Here is a 21403-nt window from a genome sequence, read left to right as displayed (position 1 = left end):
CCAAAACCAAAAACTCTGCAGCAGCATGAGTAAAGAAAAGTCAATTGAATAAAAGCATTGGCAAGTTGCATTGTGTAATGAATAAAAAACTAGATACGTTTTTAAAAATATTAAGTAGAAAGCCGTTTTCCTCTGGTCAGGGAAGTCCTCTTCAAGACAGTGATATTTAAACAGAGCCAAGCTTTGAGAATTAGAAGCGGTTAAATGAAAGGTAAACAGAAACCACTATCGGTATAGGTAATAGCATTTATAAAGGCCCAGAGAAACGAAAAGAAAAAAAAAAAGAAAAAAAACCCAAACCATAAAGCTCTGTGTTTGAGAGTCAGAAAGATAACCAATGTAGCTGGCGGTTCTGACCAAACAGGAGTGTGGCAGGAAATGAGGTCAGTGAGACAGGCAGGGGCCAGATCTTGCCTGGAATTGTAAGCATGGTGAGTTTATGATGAGAAGGTCCTAGTGAGAACGTCATGGTGACAAGGTTGTGGTAAGATGGTCATGGTGAGAAGGTCATGGTGAGAAGCTCGTGGTAAGGATGGTAAAGAAGTATTGGAAGGATTTATATAGGACAGTAATATGATATCAGTTTTGTAATTTATGAACATTACTTTTACTGCTGTTGTAGAACAAATTAGAGAAACGTAAGTTAGGAACCCTGTTAAGATGGTGCTGCAATAATCCAGTGAGAGTTCATGGTGACCTCTGTTTTGATAGGCAAGGGGAGAGATGAATTGGTGCATGTAGAGAGAGGTCATTGGCTTAGTGGTAGGCATGTAAGGGGTTTTGAGCCTGATGACCTCTATTTGCAATGATCATGAGGGTGCATGTAGATGGATGGTAGAGGTCTGATTAACAAGAAGGTTTGAAAAACTAGTACTGGGAAAACATAATTTTTTGGCTACTATATAGCATCAGTTAAGGTTTGAGATCATGAGTTTAAAATGAATCCCCTCCGATTTAAAGTTATACCCAGCCATTAGAGAGACTTACCATATGTTGACATGAGTCCTTGCCCTATTACTACACCTGCTGCTAATTCTTGGGCTGGTAATTACTTTGCTGGTGCAGTTTTTGTGCCCTGGGACAGCAGAGCTTGGCTATTTGGCATGCTTCTTTCAAGAAAATGCCAACTTTTACCCCAAAAGTTCCCAAATAAGACTCTGTCTGCAAAATATTGTCAGTGTTTACTGTCCTACTTCTCCAAGAAACCTTTGAAAATCCTGAAATCTGAACATCCTCCTCCCTTCCTCACAGTAGTCTTTGTGTCTTTCTACTAAAGCATTGTGACTTTGTGCCACTGTCTGGCCCCGCCAACAATCCCTGAGCCATCTCATGCCGTACTGGCTTTCTCTCTGAGACTGTGCTGTCTTTCTTTTTGTCTTTGGTATATAACACATGTTGACCCTTTTTCTCAAAGTTCTAACACCCACTTATTTTTCAGGTTAAAAATACCCATGAAAAGGTATTTGTTAACACTTCCTACTAGTTTATGTACCCTCTGCATTCAAAAATATGTACCACTTTTCTCTGGGAGAGGACAATCCCTTCTCACCTATAGGTATCTCAGGGCTTAGTCATGTGACTCACCTTTTCCCAATGAGGTGTGAGTGGAAGAGACACTTGTCACTTCTAGGTGGAAGCTTTCAGAGCTGTCACTTTGTTTACATACTCTTTCTTCTCCAACCCCTGAGCTCTTAGACGCATGTGTCAATGATGAGATAGCCATCAGTTCAGATCCTTTTTTGACTACAAAGAACAGAATACCACTGTTTACCTGTAATGGGCATGTAATGTGGGAAGGAAACTTTTTTTTTTATCATTAAGTTGGTTGTTTTTTTGGATTGTGTAGTGCTGGAGCAGAACAATTTGTACCAAAGAAGGAATATAATCATAACAATAACTCTAAACTATGTGACATTGACTTTAGGATGGACAGCGAGCAGTAAGAAAACTCTTAACATTTGTAAGGATGATGATCCATATTAGGTTGCAGTGAAACACTTAGGAAAACTGCCATCAATGGTAAGTTGGAAGACAAATCAGTTTCTAATAAGAGCATAGGTTTAGGCAAATAAATGGGAAGAGAGACTTTGGTAACATGGTTTGGTTGCTAAAGGTTACATTTGACAAAGGTCAATGAAAAAGAGATGAGATCAGAAAAAAAATTGTTCAATTTACAAGCAGGAAGAAAAGGAATGGAAAATTCCTAATTCAATGACTTGAAGGGTTGAGAAATATAAGCGACTCTCAGTCTCCAAGCATTCAGACTCAGATTGATGAAAATTCAGTCTTGAGGCAAGGAACAAATCAAGAAGGTCATTATCCTCTTTGTTAAACTACCAACATTTTGCTGAATTACTTTAATTAGACATAATGTTTCAGGTATAAAGAGAATTGGCTTGGCTCTTCCATGAAACTGATAGGCTCAAAATACCAGCAATTAACTCTACTGAAAGAAAAATGCATGTCTGAAAAATAATTTTGGATGTGACTACTGAAACAAAGTAGATTTGAAAGAGTTGTATTTTTGAAGATCCACCAGTGTGGTCTAAAAGCTACTGACCTTTCAGGACTTAAGGCTTGGGCCCCCAACCTTCTCTAGGGAGAGAGCATGCTGGGAAACCTGTGCAGCCCTAAAGACAGATATTTCCTATTGACCTCCTCATATGTGGTCAATATGGTAATTAAAAAGAAGAAACAATTTGAACAATGGCTCAAGAAGTAGAACAGAAACTTAAAAAGCAATGTCTGTCAGTGGGATTTCAGAGTGTTCATTGAAATTATACAGTCCTTCTATCATTGTGTTTTGCTTGTAGGGAAGAAAGTAGTTTTTGTTTGTTTTGTTTTTGCTTTTTGTTTCGTTGGGTTTGTTTTTGGTCAGTATATAGATGTCCAAAGCCAAAACAGCTGCAGCCAGACCTGCCTGTGAAATAGTCATAAGCTCCTGGACTTTGAGCCTGATACCAGGAGTAGGCTTTGGATGGTTCCTTTTGGGGAAGGAGTGAAAGTATTTGCAAGTGGAAAGTAAAAAGTGAATGTTGATAGCTGTCTGCTGTCCCTCATGCATGGAGGGCGCTTCCTTCTTCATTGATGAAGGGCATGGCTGGGAAAACGGGCAATGCCTTGGCTGAGAAGTGCACAGAAATCACTTGAAGAATCAATGTGGTGATTCACTCTTTATCAGATACATGGTTTGCAATTGTTTTCTTCCATTCCCTAGGTTGCGTTTGCAACCTGATTATTTCCTTTGCTGTGCAGAACCTTTTTAGTTGACGTAGTCCCACTTGTCTATTTTTCCTTTGGTTGCCTGTGCTTTTGGTGTCATATCCAGGAAATCACTGCCAAAATCGATGTCATGGAGTTTTTCTCCTATATTTTCTTCTAGAAATTTTACAGTTTCAGGTTTTAAACATTTGTCTTTAATCCATTTTGAGTTTTTTTGTGTGTGTATGGTGTAAGATATGGATCCCACTTTATTCTTTTACATGTGGATATTTTTCTAACTCCATTTCTTAAAGAGACTGTAATTCCCTCATTGTGTGCTCTTGGTACCCAGGGTTAAGGCAAATCCAGAGCAAAGACATGAAAATTCAAAATTTGAAATAGCTTTAAAAATGGGCAAAGTACCTGAATAGAGATTTCTCAAAAGAAGACATACAAATAGGTAACAGGTACCTGAAAAGGTACTCAGCATCACTAATTATCAAGGAAATGCAAATTTAAAGCACAAGGAGATACCACCTCATACCTGTTAGAATGGCTATTATCGAAAAAAGCAAAATATAACAAGTTTTGGCAAAGAGGTAGAGAAAGGGGAACCCTTATGCACTGTTGATAGGAGTGTATAATGGTACAGCCACTATGGAAAACAGTTTGGAGATTTTAAAAAAAATTAAAACTGAATGACCATATGATCCAGCAATTCTACCTCTGTGTATATACCCAAAAGAAATCAGGATCTCAAAGAGATCTCTATATTCCCATGTTTATTGCAGGATTATTTACAATAGCCAAGATATGCAATAAACTCAAGTGTTCGTGAACAGATGAATGGATAAGAAATTTTCTATATGCATACTATCAAATATAATTCAGCTTTAAAAAAGAAGTAAATCCTGCCACCTGTGACAACACTGGATGATCCTGAAGGACATTGTGCTAAGTGAAATAAGCCAGGCACAGAAGGACAAATACTGCATGATTCCACTTATATGAAGTACCTAAAATAATCAAACTCAGAGAATCAGAGAAAATACAGTGGTTACCAGGGACCAGGGGGGAACAGAAATGGGGGATTGCTGTTTAATTGGCATGAAGTTACAGCTTTGCATGCACGTTGAGCACTAGCGGTCTGCTGTACAGTGTAGTGCCCATAGTCAACAGTGCTGTGTTATGCACTTGCAAATGTGTTAAGAAGGTAGATCTCATGTTAAGTGTTTTAAACACACACACACACACACAAACACACACACACACACACGGAGGGACCCAAGGAAGCTTTGCGGGATGGTAGTTATGACTATTACCTTGACTGTGGCGGTAGATTCACAGGTATATGTATGTGTCCAAGCTCATCAAATTGTATACATTAAATAGGTGCAATTTTTGTATGTCAATTATACCTCATAAAGCTTTTTTTAAAAAATTCAATTAAAGAAAGAAAGAAAAAAAAGAAAAAGCAAATGAATTAGTGTGTGGTGAGCTATGCTCTTTTTGTATCTTAGCTCTTGTAATTACAGAAGCATGCATTGAGACAGCACATGCAGGAACCTGGATTCCTGAGCGACTAAGAGTGACCCTTTGCTGACCAGCAACACATATGGGGTGGGGTGGGGTAAATGAGAAATAACTTTGCTACTCTCCAGCCAGGTCAGTTAGCTTCCGTTTGTCGGGTTCGCCTGTAGGCCCCATCCTATTCTAACTGATCCACCCTATTACCACTCACAGCATCCTACACATTCTCTCTCACCAGTAAGTATATCATTAGTTTTGTAACTTTATACGTATTGGGGTGAAAAACAGTACTACTTCATCAGGTAAATATGCTTCATGAAGGATGCTTTCTTTTTTTTAGGAACTTGCACTGATCAGACACTTAAGAGACAGCAGGTGGGGCCCTAAGAGTGTGAGCTGGAGGTGCAAGAAGAGACGGAAAAAATGGGCCATTATAAACCAGAAGCTGGAACTAGGGGCTCATCAGGAGAGCACAGAGATGAGCAAAGCTCTTGAGTAATTTATCAGACCAAGCTGGAGATGCCAGAAAAGGAAGAGGACTGTTCCAACTACAGGGAGTTTAATGCTCAGCTCTAAGTCTCTTGGTTGTCTTTGTAATGGTAACCACCTCCTCTGCAGGGCAGCCTCCAAGGAGTTCTGTGAGAGGGCTGTTCTTCCAGAAAGTATCAGGCCTGGGCCGTATGTCCCTGCTTGCTTTCAGGGACATGTGAAAGAACAAGCCCCAACAGAAAAGTAAATAATAAGAACACACTTAGAAACCAAAGGTGATGAGAAGAGCTAAAATCCCCAGGACTTACAGAGATCTTGAGAACAAAGGGCTTTTCGTGGTTGATGAGATGGGCATTTGGACAGGACTTCTCTGGGTCTTAAGGGCATGGTGATCCCAGCTGGTATCTATCCGGCTTACGTTTATTTGATATATATATCCCCTCCACTATTCTGCAAGCTCCCGGGGTAGAGGGCCAGGTCTGACTTGTTCAGCGTGTTTGTTCCCATGCCTGCTACAATCCCAGGCATAAAAATACGTGATGAAAAGAAAGTTGAATAAATGAACAAATGAATGAATTATTTATGTATAAATCTATCTTCTTCACTTGATTGGGAGTTTCAGAAAGGCGAAAGCCACATCCCATGTCTCTCAGCCATCTTTCTAACTAGGGGAAGTGTCAGTGTTTGGGGATGTATCAGTCTGTTCTCACACTGCTGTAATGACACTGGGACTGGGTAATTTAAAAATAAAAGAGGTTTAATTGACTCACAGTTCCACATGACTACGGAGGCCTCAGAAAACTTACAATCATGGCAGAAGGCAAAGGGGAACCAAGGCACGTCTAACATGGAGGCAAAAGAGAGAGAGTGAAAGAGCGAGGAAGTGCCACCCTTAAAACCATCAGCTCTCGTGAGAACTCCCTCACTCCCATGAGAACAGCATGGGGGAACCACTTCCATAATCCAGTCATCTTCCACCAGGCCCCTCCCTCAACATTTGTCTGGTGGACTTCCTTGTGTCCTCAGAACTCAATGTCTTTGCTTGGAAACATGGATTGCTATCTCTGAAATGGAAAACAAAACAAAACAACAACAACAAAAAGAAACAAAAACTCCAGTGAAATAGAAAATTATAGCTTTTGAGGTCAGATTGGGTTCAAATCCTAGCTTACCCCAATACAATCTCAGGAAAGTTCCTTAACTACTTCAAGGGATATCCCTTTAAAAGAAGGATAGTAATATCTGCACTGCAGTTTTGTTAGCACAATTAAATTAGACACTATGTTCAAAGCCCCCTGCAAAGTCTCTGATGCCTGGTAGATGTGCAATCCATTTTGGCATCTCGATAAGGGCCTAATGCCACATCCAGAAATGAGAAAATCTCATCCCCAATTCCACACAACTTTGGCATAGTAAGTCCTGGTATTTGCATGCCATTGTTTGAAAATGCATTCTTTTCACTGCCCCTGGGAGAACATTCCTAATATGTTTCTACTGCCATTTTGATTATTGCCTGGCAGAGGTAATTTAAGATTTCACAATTGTGATAGCATCCTTTACTCTGAGAAAATCATGGTTTCTCAAACAGACAGGCAGACAGAAAGGGGAAAATGGATTGTAAGAAACTCAGAGCATTTTTGAAACCTGGATTCCACAAATCAAAACAAAGAAAAATACCCTCTTTATGGAAACTTTATTTATTTGTCTGAGTTCTGGAATTGGAGAGATAACATGGGGAGAGAATGAGAATGGGATGATATTACCATTCTATAATGTCCTTTGGAGTTCACAGCTGGTTTTAAAAAAAATACCTTTATGATATTTAGATTAAAATTTAATTACACATTAGATCTAAGACCAAGCATGATGGCTTCATTTCCATCCTGGACTAGGACAGAGCTGAAACATTTAGCCACAGGTAGGTAACTGGGATTGTTGCAAACGATCATGAATCCCACAGAAACTTAATACCATGAGAAAGTTTGCAGTGTGATGCTGTGAAAATATTAAAGGCCTAGAATCCCGGCTCAGTGGCCTGTTCCCAGGGGAAGTCTAGTTGTGGGTCTGATATCACCAATCACAGGCTGCAAAACTTTTTCTGTCTTTGGGATCTGGAAACCTAATCAAAATTAAGGTGATACCATGCAGGCTGTGGGATACCACAGAGAGCCAAGGGATTGGCTGCAGCCTAAAACAGGAAAGACACTTCGCAGACACAGGTGGGAGGCCATTACTCATGACATCTGAGCTAGGAGCCAGAAGTGGTGGGTTCTTCAGAAACACAGTTATTTTCTCGTGGCTGTTAGCATAGTTCCGAGATGAGGCTGTCTGCTAATTAGAGAAGTTAATAGGAAACCTGCCCCTCATTCCTTGTCAGATCCCCCAAAGTTTAGAAAGTGAGGCCCTTCAGGCAACGGGCTTCACTATCTGGTGCGGTTTGCTATACTTCTTGGCCTGACTCAGAGATATGGGTAAATGGAGGTTGGTTTAAAAAAAATGCATTTGGATTTAAGAAGACATCTTTGGTGTTCATATGGCATATTTTCTTTTGTTTAATCAGCAACCTGATTATAATCCTGCCCCCACTGAAAGCTTTAATTGGCTCTCCATTGTCTGTAAGATGGTGCCAACCTCCTTTCAGCTGATATATTCAAGCTCCTCCATGGGCTGGCCTCTGGCACCCCAGCCTCATTTTTCTCTGTGCTTTCTCTCAGATTCTCCATACATGACACGTGAAAGTGCTTGCATTTCTTGGGTCAAGGTGCTTCTGCACAGACCCATATGTTTTCATTTGCAAAGATGCAAACTTCTGCTCATCATTCAAAACTTAACTGAGGAATCTCCCTCTCTGTGCTGCCTTCCCTAACTTTTGCACAGAGTCAATTTTCCCACTTATGTAGTGAAACTGTACCTGGTACATACCTCTAGAACAGCCCTTTGCATTGTATCATGGTCTATACGTTACCTTCTTTCATGGCCTGTGGTTTATCTGAGGAGAAGGAATCAGTCCAGCTAATGATGAAATGATGAATACCATGATTGGGGCACTTAGGAATGCTGGTCTAGGGGCCTCCATCTCACTGTGACACAGCAGAAACTCTAATGGCTGCTGCAGGCACAGCTGTGGGATGTTGTCCTTTGCAGCCAGGTACTCAGGTCCCAGGAGGATGGAACCACACAGTGCTGCAGCCCCTTTGCACCTGCCCTTTGTGCCCTGTGCTTTCGGCAGAGGCATATATTGACAATTTCTGGAGAAGAGTTTTCAATGGCTTCTTCAGACACTGGGTGAAAGGTTGTCAATTTACAGCCAGGACAGCCCCAAGTGTTAGAAATTAACAGACTCAGCAGTCACTGGACGCAGTGGTTTTCATGGTGACTGCCTTGTCCTGGCAAAGGTTATTGAAGCAAGACTGAAGAGGCATAAATATTCCAGAAATAAGGTCCTGACTGCAGGGGCCGTTCCTGCAATACTGTCTATGATCCTGTTTTCCAGGCACTTCTTTCCATGCTATGCTTGCATCATCAGTGCCCTTGATGAAGAAGGGCGGGAGCTTTGACGTGGTGGAGACTTGCCAGAGAGACTCCTTTAGGGCTGCTCTGGCCCCTGCTAGACACCAGGGTTGGTGTGAAGAACACACAGAAGGTGGGGCCTGCCCTACTGTCCTTGCGACTGGTGAAAGATGTCTTCATTTCTGTGGCTGAGAGAGGTGTTGACTGGAGATGCAGTCAGGGTCTGCGCTGTGACTGGGGAGGGTACCAGGGAGGAGACTGCTTCCCTGGGGAAGGCCTGGATCTGGCATTGTTATCGCTAATCAATTCAGAACTGGTTAATTTTGTGCCTTGGCACTGTTGGATAAATTCATTTATTGAAAAAGAAACCTGGGAAAAAAAAGTTTGTCTAATTGAGATAGAAATTTACCATCAAGTGAAGTATTAGTTTGGTGCAAAAGTAATTGTGGTTTTTGCAATTACTTTTAATATGTTTAATCCTTAACGAGGCTGGAATTTCACACAGAACAAGAAGAAAAGAAGAAAATGGCAATAGCAAAAGAACCAAGAAATAGACATCTAAGGCTAACTGACCCTGCTTACCATTAAATCCTTATTCTAGGTTTCCAAATACTGTGGACATATTGTACAGCAGCATGATTTCAAAAGCCACTATTTCGTTTCTCCATTAATCTGGATAGAGACCATAAAATCAGGTGGTCAAGGGAAGACTGAGACAGGCATGGCCTAGGATGAGCCACAGCCTGGGAGGGTTAATGTAACAATCTGACAAAATGCTGTTTCCTTCCATCTGGGTGCAAAGAAGTTCGTCCTCACAGATAGGAAAATCAGTCCCTCTGCATCTTCATGGAGAGTCCAGGAATAGGTTTTTCCTTAGCTCCCCTAGACCATTGTTTTTTGTTTGTTTGTTTGTTTGTTTGTTTTTTGAGACTGTCCTTGGACGGAGGCTTGTGACCTGTGAAAGATGTCTTCATTTCTGTGACCGAGAGAGGTGTTGACTGGAGATGCAGTCAGGGTCTGCACTGTGACTGGGGAGGGTACCAGGGAGGAGACTGCTTCCTTGGGGAAGGCCTGGATCTCGGCACTCTTAGGTAACTGTGACAGAATCTCACTCTCATTGTCCAGTCTGGAGTGCAGTGGCATGATCACACCTCACTACAGCCTCAACATCAGCTCAAGCGATCCGCCCACCTCAGCCTCCCGAATAGCTGGGACTACAAGTGTGCACCACCACGCCCAGCTAATTTTTTGTATTTTTAGTAGAGAAGTGGTCTCTCTATCCCCCTGACCATTTCTAAATAGAAGCTAGATTGCTTTTCTTTTCTCCTTCAAATATGTTTGGTGGGCCATATGAATAGAATTACTCACAGTGGCCTCAGCAGCCCTCACTCACTCACTGTCATCGAGTCCTTTGTGTTGACTCTAGTTCTTCCCCTTTCAGAGCTTGACATAAATGGAAGCTCTTTGCAGCCTGACTTGCAGGCATCATCTCCACCTGCCCCCTGCAGAAGGGGTTGCCAGGATTGCTCCTCAATCAGTTTTTGCAGAATTGCCTTAACGTTTTTCAGATACTTTGTTTCAGGCACAAGACATACATGAACATGCATCTCCTTACTTAATTCTTATTGAATCAGAGGTATAGAAATGCAGCTGAGCTCATGAGCTGATTTATAGGTGAGCAGAGAAGCATACCCAGGTTTCTGACTCTGAAGTCCATTCTCCTTAAATACTGCGCTTCCTTATTCTCTTTCTTCTGCTCCTGCTCCTTAAACTTCAGCTCTTCCATATGACAGCCACTGAGGCAGGGCCAGCCCATGCCCCTACCGCATAATATTTCTTAGCAAATACATAGCCCCAAACTCAAACACAGTCAAACAACACTTTCATTAGTAGATAATATCTGGCAAATTTCACTCTTACCTCCTTAACACCATGCTGTTATTCTTAATGTATCAATTTAATCAGTTTTACTAACTTTTGACTAAGAAGTCTGCTTTATCTTTGCTAATATTAAAGCAATGCTTACTCAAAATCAACAAAAAATATTGAAAATGCAGAAAAGAAGGAAAAAAGTCGCCCTCTGGAAGCCAATCCAAAGATAACGACTGTTGTACATAAATTGCCTGTTTTGCAGTCATGGCAGGCACAGATCTTTCTGTGTCAAGGTGGCCCATGGGCTGTAGGGGCTCTAGACCACCCAAGCCAGTCACCATCCACTGAGGACACTGTTTCTCTCCCGCTTTAGTCTCCTTAAAAAATTAAGTGTGTACTATATGACACATAATTTAAAAGCCCACTTGTAGATTACAAATTCCTTATCATCAAAACATCTGAAATAGATTTGCCTCCTGTGGAGTCCTCAGGAAATGCTGTCCCCATTACCCCATGTCAAGGACTGGGGTCTCCCCCCAGCCTGGACTGGATGTGAGTGTTCGTTTGGAAGATCTCTGAGAATCAGCAAACCAAACAATTTTTTTAAATGCCTACTCTTTGCCAAGTGTATTGACAAGGGATCTTAAGCTTTATGAGAAGAAGGATTGGGTCTCTCTTATTCAGTGTTGTTTCCCTAAGGCCTAGGACTGTTTCAAATACACTATGGTCTTTAAAAAGTACAATAATTTGGCCAGGCGCGGTGGCTCACACCTGTAATCCCAGCACTTTGAGAGGCCAAGGTGGGTGGATCACGAGGTCAGGAGTTCGAGACCAGCCTGGCCAACCATGGTGAAACCCTGTCTCCACTGAAAATACAAAAATTAGCTGGGTGTGGTGGTGTGTGCCTGTAATCCCAGCTACTCGGGAGGCTGAGGCAGGAGAATTGTTTGAACCCAGGAGGTGGAGGTTGCAGTGAGCCGAGATCACGCCACTGCACTCCAGCCTGGGTGACAGAGCAAGACTCCATCTCAAAAAATAAATTAATTAAAAAAAAAAGTACAAAAATCCATTGCATCTTGACAACAACAAATCCATAAGAGAAGCATTTCTAAAGGCATTAAAGGATCGGAAATCGAAGGCCTGTAAGAGTTCAGCAAGCTGCACAAGGTTACACAGTGTATGGCACAGCTGCCATTGAAAGTCTGTTTGATTTCAAAGCCCATCTTTTTTTGCACAATGCCATTCTGCTTTTTTCCCTGTCAGTGCCTTTAATATACTGGTAAATGGTTTCACGTACTCTGATTTCAGTCGTAGCAAAGAAAAAAGTATCATCAAAAAGGCCTTATTCCAGTCGCCATTGATTCATCCCTTTCTCAATTTGAGTCCAATTTTCCTTACATGCTGGATTTCCTGACCAAGCATTTTGTGTAGATAATAGTTTTTTTTTTTTTTTTCTGGAATGTTCTAAATGGTATTTTTTATATTAAAAAAATAAAATATATAGTAGTTTCTGATTCCTCCATCTTTATCAAGTACTCTGTGCTTATCTTGTCTCTTACAGCCATTAAGCCACGTTAAGGGGTTTGAACTTGATCCTAAGAGTAATGAAGGATTCCTAGGCAAATGTTAATGGATGAGTGACCTTATCACATTTGCTTTTAAAACTATCTATTCATCAGAAAGATGGAGAATGGATTGGAGAGAGGCAAGCCTGGAGTCAGGGAAACCAGTGAAAAGAATATTGTGTGACTCCATGTGAAAGACTAGGTGTTTTAGGTAAGGAATCTGCTCTTTCCAAAAAGAAGTCTGACACTTGTCCTCAGGTCCTGGGAAGGAATCTCTAGGCTCTGGGAATATTGTGCCCAATAGGAGTGTTTCCGTTTGTTCGGGGGCCTTGGCTCACACCTGGAGGGTCTAACAATGTGATTTCAGGTGGGGGCTTTGGGTCATGAAGTCATCCCTCAAGGGACTAGAGACTGAGATCAATGAAAGGAGAGGCCAATTAGCTTCATGTGATTGAGTACAGTGAACACGCTGGACACCAAAGCTCAGGGGAGCTTCCCTGGATGGCAATGCTCTCTGCATGCTATCACACGTCTTACCTGAGAACTAAGGCTGCCCACCATCCACTGGAGGGCATGCCAGCGGCTCCATGTGTGGAACCCTGCTGGACTGACCCATGCACTGCTTCCTGTGGCTGACTTTCATCTGTGTTCGTTAGCTGTACTCAACTGTAACTAAAGGTATAACCACTTTCAGCGAGTTCTGTGAGTACTTGCAGTGAAGTACCAAAATGAAGAGTGGTCTTGGGAACTCCCAAACATGCAACTGGTGTTGAAGGTAGGGAAGCCTTAAGGGACTGTTCCTTAATTTTGCAGTTGGTGTCAGAGGTGAGGGCAGACTTGGGACTGTTCTCGCAAATTCCACAGGGGTCCAGATCAAAGGAGCGGAAGTGGGAATGGAGAGGAGCAGGGGACCCCAAGAGATACTGGTATTCAGAAGCTGCTACGGCAAGGTTGGTGGATGACTGGATAGGTAAAGGGGAGGCGGAGGAAGATTCCTCAAAAACATCATTTAGATTTCTGACTCGGCCACTAGTTGAGTGGTTTATGATACCCACTCAACTTGATTTATTTCTTCTAAGACATTTTACTCTTAATGCTTAGAACAGTCTGGGACATTTTAGATAAAAAACAAATGTTGAATGAAGAATAGTCTGAGGCAGTGGAAAAGATCTAATTGATTAATAAGAACAGGAAATGATAGTTAATTGACAGGGGAACATTAGTTGGAAGACAAACATTAGTTGGAAGACAAACCCCCACTCTTAAAATCCATCTAGGAGAGCAGACTGTAGATTGAACGGATGTTTTGAATTAAAAGAATGTCACCGTCTTTGCTGATTTGCCACATTTATAAAAAGGGGGTAAGGCAATTTCTAAATAAATAAACTCAATCTTTTGAAAGGCTAATTCCATCAAGCTACGGTGGTGAATATTGTCCCACTTCAACTTTGTATTATTGCTGTTCAAACAGTAGACATCTCTCCCTGACTCTCCCAACACCTGGGACCCCCAAGAGATGTCCTGCACAAAGCTTACTGTTTACGAGATCTCTTTGTGTTATGTTCCATTTAGACTGCTGACCACTTTTTCATTCATTCCTCGATTAGCATCATGTTAAATTTGTGAAATTCTATTTCTATTTATCATATTGCTCTCAAAAGGCTAAGCCTGAATGCTGGTGTACATTTTCTTGCTAATGTACATTTTTCTCATTTCTGTGTTTCTTTATTTTTAGTAGATTTGGAATACACAAAAGTCCCCCTGATTAAGCTTTTAGAATCACCATTGTCTCATTAGTAGTGCATGTATACATGATTATTCCATTGAAAACAATCAGGAAACTGGATACAATGTCCTTCCAGCTGCTACCTGAGAGGTCTTAATATTCAGTGTGTAATTGAGAACGACAACCACCACAATAATAGTAATACATGGCTTGTATAATTTTCTACTTTTTAAGAAGATTAAATATAATAGCATATGCTAAAGTACTGAGTAAAGTAGACAGTTCTATGTAACTATTATCCATACTTGTTTTCATTAGCTGAACTCTTGATAAATGTCAAAAATCTACTTTTCGCTGACACTGTTAAAATCCAATTTTCAGAACATTTCACTTTACAAAATAACTTCACAACTTTGATCCTCCGTATTCATAACAGTGATCTTGCCAGGTGGTTGTTATTACCAATTCCAGAAAGATAAACGAAACTACAGACAGCCCAAGTGGTTTGCATCAGGTGGCATAGCTAGTGGATGTCAGAGCTGTCCATGAAGTTAGACCCATCCACCTTTACAACACATGCTACTCCCTGAAGCCACATTCTTTTACATACGGGAGACATTCCTGAAGCAGAGAAATAGCACTTAGTTCTTTTCTGAAATGCTTTGCCCTCCCTTGAAAGGAGGGGCATAGTCCAGTTGTCCAAGTAGCTAGAGAATTAAGTAGAAATGATACTTTTGTTCTTTTTAAACGTTTCTGGCTTAGTTTTGATGTACCAGATACTGAGTAACAATAATATTTTTTTTCCTAGAAATAATAACTGCAAACATCATAGCAAGGCACCAGCATTTCTGCATCTCATTTAATTAGAAATGGAGAGACTGAAAGTAAAACTGGTAAGTCATATATGCAAGAGAGACAGATCGTCCACGGCAGCGCTGCATGCTGAACCCAGGCAGCTGACTCCAGAGCTCTGTTGCTCAGCTTCGGCCTTTGGTAGTGTGACTCCAGCTTTTCTTGTTTCTCTTTGGTCCAGACCTGACCACAGGAAAATAAATCCATAGCCAGTTTGAGATGTTAGATCACAGTTACTTTTGCATTTTCCAAATGTATTGAGAATGCCTACAACATGTCATATAGCAGTAACATTGTTTTGGTTACACAGATACTTCAGGGAGAACAATGCAATTTCGCTAAGTTTTCCACTGAAAGCAGTCACCTCTGTGTGGAGAAAATTCAGGAATCCCAAACCCAGGAATGATGTCTTGGTGGAAAACTGAAATGTTTGGAACTGGAAATTCAGAGTGGAAATGCCCTCCTAAATGAAGAGAGGCTGCTGTTACAATGGCATTAATTATTTAAAAACAAGCAACAGAAAATAAAAATGTCTCAGGAAAATTGCATTCATACATGACAGAGGAATGGTGCTGCCTTCTCATATGAAGTAGTCAGCAAGGGTTTGCATGTCAGTGAGAGTTTGCATGCTGGGAATAAGGCCACCACTAGATCTCAGGTCAGCCGAATGCCACAGCCAGTTTTATGCATTGTTCACTCCCATCTGAACAAATGCTTAGGGAAGGGGTGGGACAAAACTGGGCTTTTCAAGCAGACTGCTTTGGTTTGGAATTCTGTCTCTAGCGCTTGCTAACTATGGACCTAGGGGAGTTCCTTAACTTTAGTAAACCTCAACTTTCTCATCCTTTTAATTGGGATTAAATAACAGCCATGCCGCATGTTACACAGACACTTCCCACAACGTTTTGCTGCTTCTGTTTCCATGCTAAGCCCGCTGCACTGAGAGCTACTTGAGAAAAGTATCCAGGGTGTTGTTTCCTCCCTATTTTCCTAGTGCTTAGTGCATGGTAGGCATTTAATACAAGGTTGATACACGGGAATCATCTATCTTCTGCTTGGGGGACACAAATTCTAAAGGTCGGGTTGAATTTAATGGTAGAAAGGGAAGACAGGAAAACAGTGGCAAATGTTTGGATCCATGCAAAGTTAGCACACTCATTTCTGGCTTTAATTTATTTAAATGGGCCCTGAAATCATAGATGCTTTTCCATCTAATTTAGAGATACTGAAGGACATTCATTGAGCGAACAGTAAAACTCGCCTTCAGTGGGTCCGTGACTGTTAATACCAATCCTATGTAGTTAATGTTGTATTCTCCAAAATTGTATTTTCCATAGAGTAATTATGAGTCAGGCAAAAAGAAAAACTGTAAATTAATCAGGGTTTACACAGTAAACAATGCACCTAAAAAGAGTCTTAATGAGCGAAGCATTGTCCAAAGCAGCCTGCTTTTAAATATACATTTCTGAGTAGATATGACTTATGATGACTGCTCCTTTCTTAATTTCATTCAATTTGTTGGATGGGTGATAGGAGCACGCATATGAATGTACTGATATATCTTATAGGGCTGTATTCCGGCAGTGCCCTGGATTCGTATAATGTGCCTTTTCCCAGAAACAGAAGCATCTTTTCCTCTGTCAGGTTCTTTACCAATGGGGGCTCGGCTGGAAGGGCTTCATCCTTGAGGACACTGCTGCTCTCCTTCCCTATGGAGGATCACACAGTGTCCACGCACACATGAGCCACTGCCGTTAACTTTGACGAGAACCGCGTGCGGTTTGGGGGTGATTTAGCCTTTAAACAATTCCACTCTGGGTCCCTAAGAGTTTAGCTCTGCTTCCCTGATGTGCAGTTTCCTGAATTCAGGCCAGGAGGGCATCACCCATTTCTCAGTCATACACCAAATCGGGCTAACCATTTGACTACATGGTACACTTTAATGAAGTTTTCCCAAGTGCAAAAGGAATGTGCAATGGCCGCCCTTTTCCAGGCACTTTCATACATGACATCCGTACATGCATGAATGCACTGCGCCGAGAATCTGTTGGTTCTTTTGCATGTGTTGTCTCCAGTCCTCACCAGGCCCTTATGCAGTGGCTACTGTCATTATTGTGAAGAGGGCAAGCCCCAGATTGACTATCTAGAGGCATATCGCACTGCTGCCGTTTCCTCTGTCTGTGCCTTTCGGCAAGTCAATCCTTCCAAGCCTCAGTTTCCTTATCTGTAAAATGGAAAGTCTACTTCTTAGGTTGTTATCGGGATTGCCACCCCTAACATATTGTTGGCCAAGTGGGAAAAGCTCAATAAACACTGTCATTAATCTCATTGTGAATTAGACTGGGTTCAAAAAGGTTAAAACCAACAATAATAATTGCATCCCTTTCCCTATAGCTTTCATGTCTCTCCTAGACAAAGAATAAAGTTTTGTAAGTTTTCAGTCTTAAGCATAGAACTCATTTCTCCCGAGACTTCATTTTCATGGTAGGGTAGTACAGATTGAATATCCCTTATCAAAAGTGCTTGGGGCCAGAAGTGTTTTGGATTTTGAATTCTGTCAGATTTTGAAATATTTGCATTATGCTTACCCATCGAGCATCCCAAATCCAAAAATTTGAAACTTGAAATGCTCCAATAAGCATTCTCTTTGAGTGTCATGTAACTGCTCAAAAAATTCTGGATTTATGAACACTTCAGATTTTGGATTTTGGGGTTGTAATGCTTAATCCATAGTAGATAAAGGCACTTTGTCAGCTCCATCAGAGCAAGCTTCCTCAGAAGCACTACCTGGTGATCACTCTCATTCCTTCCCAAAGTTTCATTTCTCTCTCTCTCTCTCTGTCTCTGGAGACAGTGTCTTGCTCTGTCCCCCAGGCTGGAGTGCAGTGGCATGATCACAACTCACTATAGCCTCAACTTCTTGGGCTCAAGTGATCCTTTCTCTTCAGTCTCCTGTGTAGCTGGGACTATGGATGTGCACCACCATGCCTGGCTAATTTTTTTAAATTTTTATTTTAGCAGAGATAGGGGGTCACTATGATGTCCAGGCTGGTCCTGAACTCCTGGCCTCAAGCAATTCTCCCACCTTGGCCTCCCAAAGTTCCTGGATTACAAGTGTGAGCCCACCGTGCCTGGCCTTAAAGTTCAATCTTAACATGGGCCCTGGCCCTGTTCTACTTCTAAAGATCTCTTTTGAATTCTCAACCCCACCTTTATCATGGGCTTCTGTTCTGTCCTTCAGAAAAGCCCGCCAGAACCAAAGATGGAAGTTACTGAAGATGGTGAAGCTAGGGAACCCCAATAAGAGCTCCCATCTTATTTCTCATTGCTTGCTTACAAGCACACTATTCTCTAGCTTCTGACCTATGAAAAGTGCTTGGCACACATTTGTGCAACAAAACTGACTGTGCTAGCTCCAGGTGCAAAACTGCCCAGCAACCACTAGACACAGTTCCTGCCCCACTGTGCTCACCCCACCTGAACTAACCAAATTATTCTGGCATAACCATGTTAGAAAAGGACTCTTGGGGACTGCTACGGGACAGCCAAGGTGGCTCAGGGGTGCTAGACAATGTGCATCTCAACATGCTTCACAAATGATTGCTTATGTTTAATAGTACATGCTCACGTGCATGCTATAATGGCTATCATTTTACACATCGTAGCTCACTCTGCACAAATAACTCTAAGAGATTTTTCCTCTTGTTTCAGAGACATAGAGAGATTAAGGAACATGCCCAAGTGCAATATGGTTAGGGAGTGGTGAAGCTAGGCTGCAAATCTGGCTCTTTTTGGCCCTGCACTTTAGGCTTTAATTCTGCCAAGCCAAAATGCCAACACAAACTGTCACACTCCATCTACCATCTTTTTTTTTTTTTTTTTTTCTGAGACAGAGTCTCGCTCTGTCCTCCAGGCTGGAGTGTGATCTTGGCTCAGTGTAACCTCTGCCTCCCGGGTTCAAGCAATTCTCCTGCCTCAGCCTCCCGAGTAGCTGGGATTACAGGTGCCCACCACCATGCCTGGCTAACTTTTATATTTTTAGTAGAGACAGGGTTTCACCATGTTGGTCAGGCTGGTCTCGAACTCCTGACCTCGGGTGATCCACCCACTTCGGCCTCCAAAGTGCTGGGATTACAGGCATCAGCCACTGTTCTTGGCCCCATTTATCACCTTAGCTCTGAGACCGGCCTCCAAGAGGGGTTCCCTGTGGAGTAAGATGTGCACATTCTACTTATTCTCTCTTCTAGGTCAAGTGAGAAAATGTACTTGAAATCACTTTGTAAGCTATAAGGTACTCTATAGAGAGTACCTTATATATATACATGTATAAATGTACACATATCTATACACATAAGTACAACTATATTGCTCACAATTCACAAGAAATGTGTGATTCATGTTAAATATTCAACATGTCGAATGTATTGGGGTTGTCTATCTTGATATAGATACTTGTTCACAAGCTATTAGTATGCCCTATTGACATTTCATACAAATAAACACAATACACACACACACACACACACACACCCATGTTGCTCTTCCCTCTTGGGAATGTTTGCTCAAGAGGCTGAGGCTGAAGTTGGCCTCCTGCTATGTCTGAGAGCAGCCCTTGCATAGGTGTGAGTGTGCACAGGAATTTATTTTCTAACCAAGGGAGAAATTGACAAAGTGAATAGAAAAACCACAAAAGCAGCTAAGTTAGATTTGGGTTCAAAAAAAGAATGCAGACAGAAAAGGAAGACTGTGAGGGGAGAGTTGATAGGTGGTTTAAGGAATGTCTGGCGAGAGGCAAGGAATAGAGTAAAGAAGAGAAAAAGTAATAAAAATAACTGCAACACTCACCTCTGAGAACAAATGACTGTAGTTGCTGCATGCTTAACGTCCCCATCTTATGAAGCACCACACATCAGCAGAAATGAGATACACAGCAGGGAGGTGTTAGAAATCTGGTTTTGCAGATGATTTTGTCAAATCACCTACAGCTTTGCTCAAACCAGTTCCAAAGGCTTTAACCACATGGTTTGCTTGTGTGCACCTATTTCCTGAGTTGCTCTAAATTGCATGACTTGGGGTGTAATGGCAATTCTTTGGGTTTTTGTGGCTCCATTTCTATGAGACACATGATTAGAAATCCTGTTTGCTTTTTGCTTGTCAAGCCTTAATCAGCTACCACGCTGGGCTTGTGTGAGGGCCCTGATAATCAGCCTGCTTTATGGAGAAGGCAGAGTGGAAACAGGACAGGAGACTTCCCATGGCACGGATACAGAAACGCAGCTTTCTTCGGGTTCTCCTTAAACTCGGAAAGTATCTCTTGTCTGAAAAATTTAAGTCACAATCTCTAATTAATTAGCTAACTAGCTCCCCCTCTTGAAACGTCTTTCAGATAAAAACTGCATAATGCTGCAAAGCAATGGCCTAAAATCAGACTAATCTACGTCTACGGCAGTCCTTAGGATCCATTGTGTCAGAAAAATACATAGAAATGTCTTAAAATCTGCCCAAACACAAAAACTGTAACTGTGCTATTACTTTCGTTGGGTTTATACCTTTCAAATCATCTTTTTTCCTTAAAGGTATTTTGACACAGCTTAAAAAAGAAAGGCACCAAAAGCCTTAGCCTGTACAGCGAGCTATAAAATTGCTGCGAGCTTAAACAGTCAAGGTAGGAAAAATGGCAAAAGTTATGTCCCCAACAAATAAGCTTGTGCTTTTGTCATAAATGAAGACTCTTAAAATGTGATGCCACCCCATGACTTATTTTGTATTATCTTATTTTTGTTTTGCTCCAGTCATTCTCTCCCTTTATCTTACATCAAAAACAAGAAAAGTTTTGCCTATGTCTACAACTTAAGTGAGGAACCTATTATGTGATTATGATATAAAATTCAGAGCCAGTGATAGGCCGTCGTGTGGTGTAAACATTTCAGAGGATAAGAATAATAGCAAAGAACTAAATTGAAATGTAATCCGTGCTGAGATACTGTAACAAAGTCTCGTAATCTCTTTAAGCCAGCTGTTCTCAACTTTGGCTGCCTATTTGAATCTTGCAGAGATCTTAAATCCTTCTTGATGCCTGGGTCTCACCCTCCAGGGATTCCGATTTCATTTGTCTAGGTTGTGACCTAGTGTCATGGGTTTTAACAGCTCCCCAGGTGATTCAAATATGTGGCCACGATTGAGAGCCCTCTTGTCAGCTGACTGTACTGTATACACGGATCTCTGACAGTAAAGGTCATCACCTGGTTCCCTGATTTGTTCTGGTCTTATTTGTGTGCCAATGGCTCTTTCTTGGACTTCAGAGTTTTATCTGCACAGATGATTCTGATACTGCTTCTGGGACTGCTGACCCAGTGTGGGCACTTGGTCATGACAGCTTTTTGACCCTATGCTGGTCTACAGGTGGCTAGGGCCCCTGTAACAAAGTATGAAGACTGGGTGGCTAAACAGTAGAAATGTATTGTCTCATAGTTCTGGAGGCTGGAAGCCCGAGATCGAAATGTCTGCGGAGTTGGTTCCCTCTGTGGCCTCTCTCTTGCTTGCAGGCAGTTCCTTTGCCCTGTTTCCCTACATGGTCTTCCCCCTGGCGTGTCTGTGTTCTAATCTCCTTTTATAAACACACAGGTGAGATTGGATTAGGCCCACCCATATGACCAAA

At 41.7% G+C, this 21403-nt stretch overlaps 1 long non-coding RNA gene and 1 pseudogene across 1 annotated transcript, besides 1 other annotated feature; one reads left to right on the top strand and one right to left on the bottom strand.

Annotated features, from left to right (window-relative positions):
• Positions 7704 to 8903: an enhancer, noted in NCBI's record as "MED14-independent group 3 enhancer chr2:7876672-7877871 (GRCh37/hg19 assembly coordinates)". NCBI's record gives its function as "activates an origin of replication core promoter dependent on BRD2, BRD4, P300/CBP and CDK7 cofactors, and independent of MED14, by STARR-seq in HCT116 cells {active_cell/tissue: HCT116}" and the evidence as "EXISTENCE:reporter gene assay evidence [ECO:0000049][PMID:35650434]".
• Positions 8349 to 9005, top strand: LOC100130731 (proteasome 20S subunit beta 1 pseudogene; annotated as a pseudogene).
• Positions 14723 to 19665, bottom strand: LINC01871 (long intergenic non-protein coding RNA 1871). Its single transcript, NR_183384.1, has 2 exons — positions 19591 to 19665; positions 14723 to 14928 (listed from the first exon to the last, which is right to left on the bottom strand). It is a non-coding gene; the product is annotated as a long intergenic non-protein coding RNA 1871 (long non-coding RNA).
• Between the last annotated feature and the right edge of the window lie 1738 nt (positions 19666 to 21403).

This window comes from Homo sapiens, chromosome 2 (assembly GCF_000001405.40).
Source record: "Homo sapiens chromosome 2, GRCh38.p14 Primary Assembly".
Lineage (NCBI taxonomy): Eukaryota > Metazoa > Chordata > Mammalia > Primates > Hominidae > Homo > Homo sapiens.
This window is presented reverse-complemented; position numbering and strand designations above follow the sequence as displayed.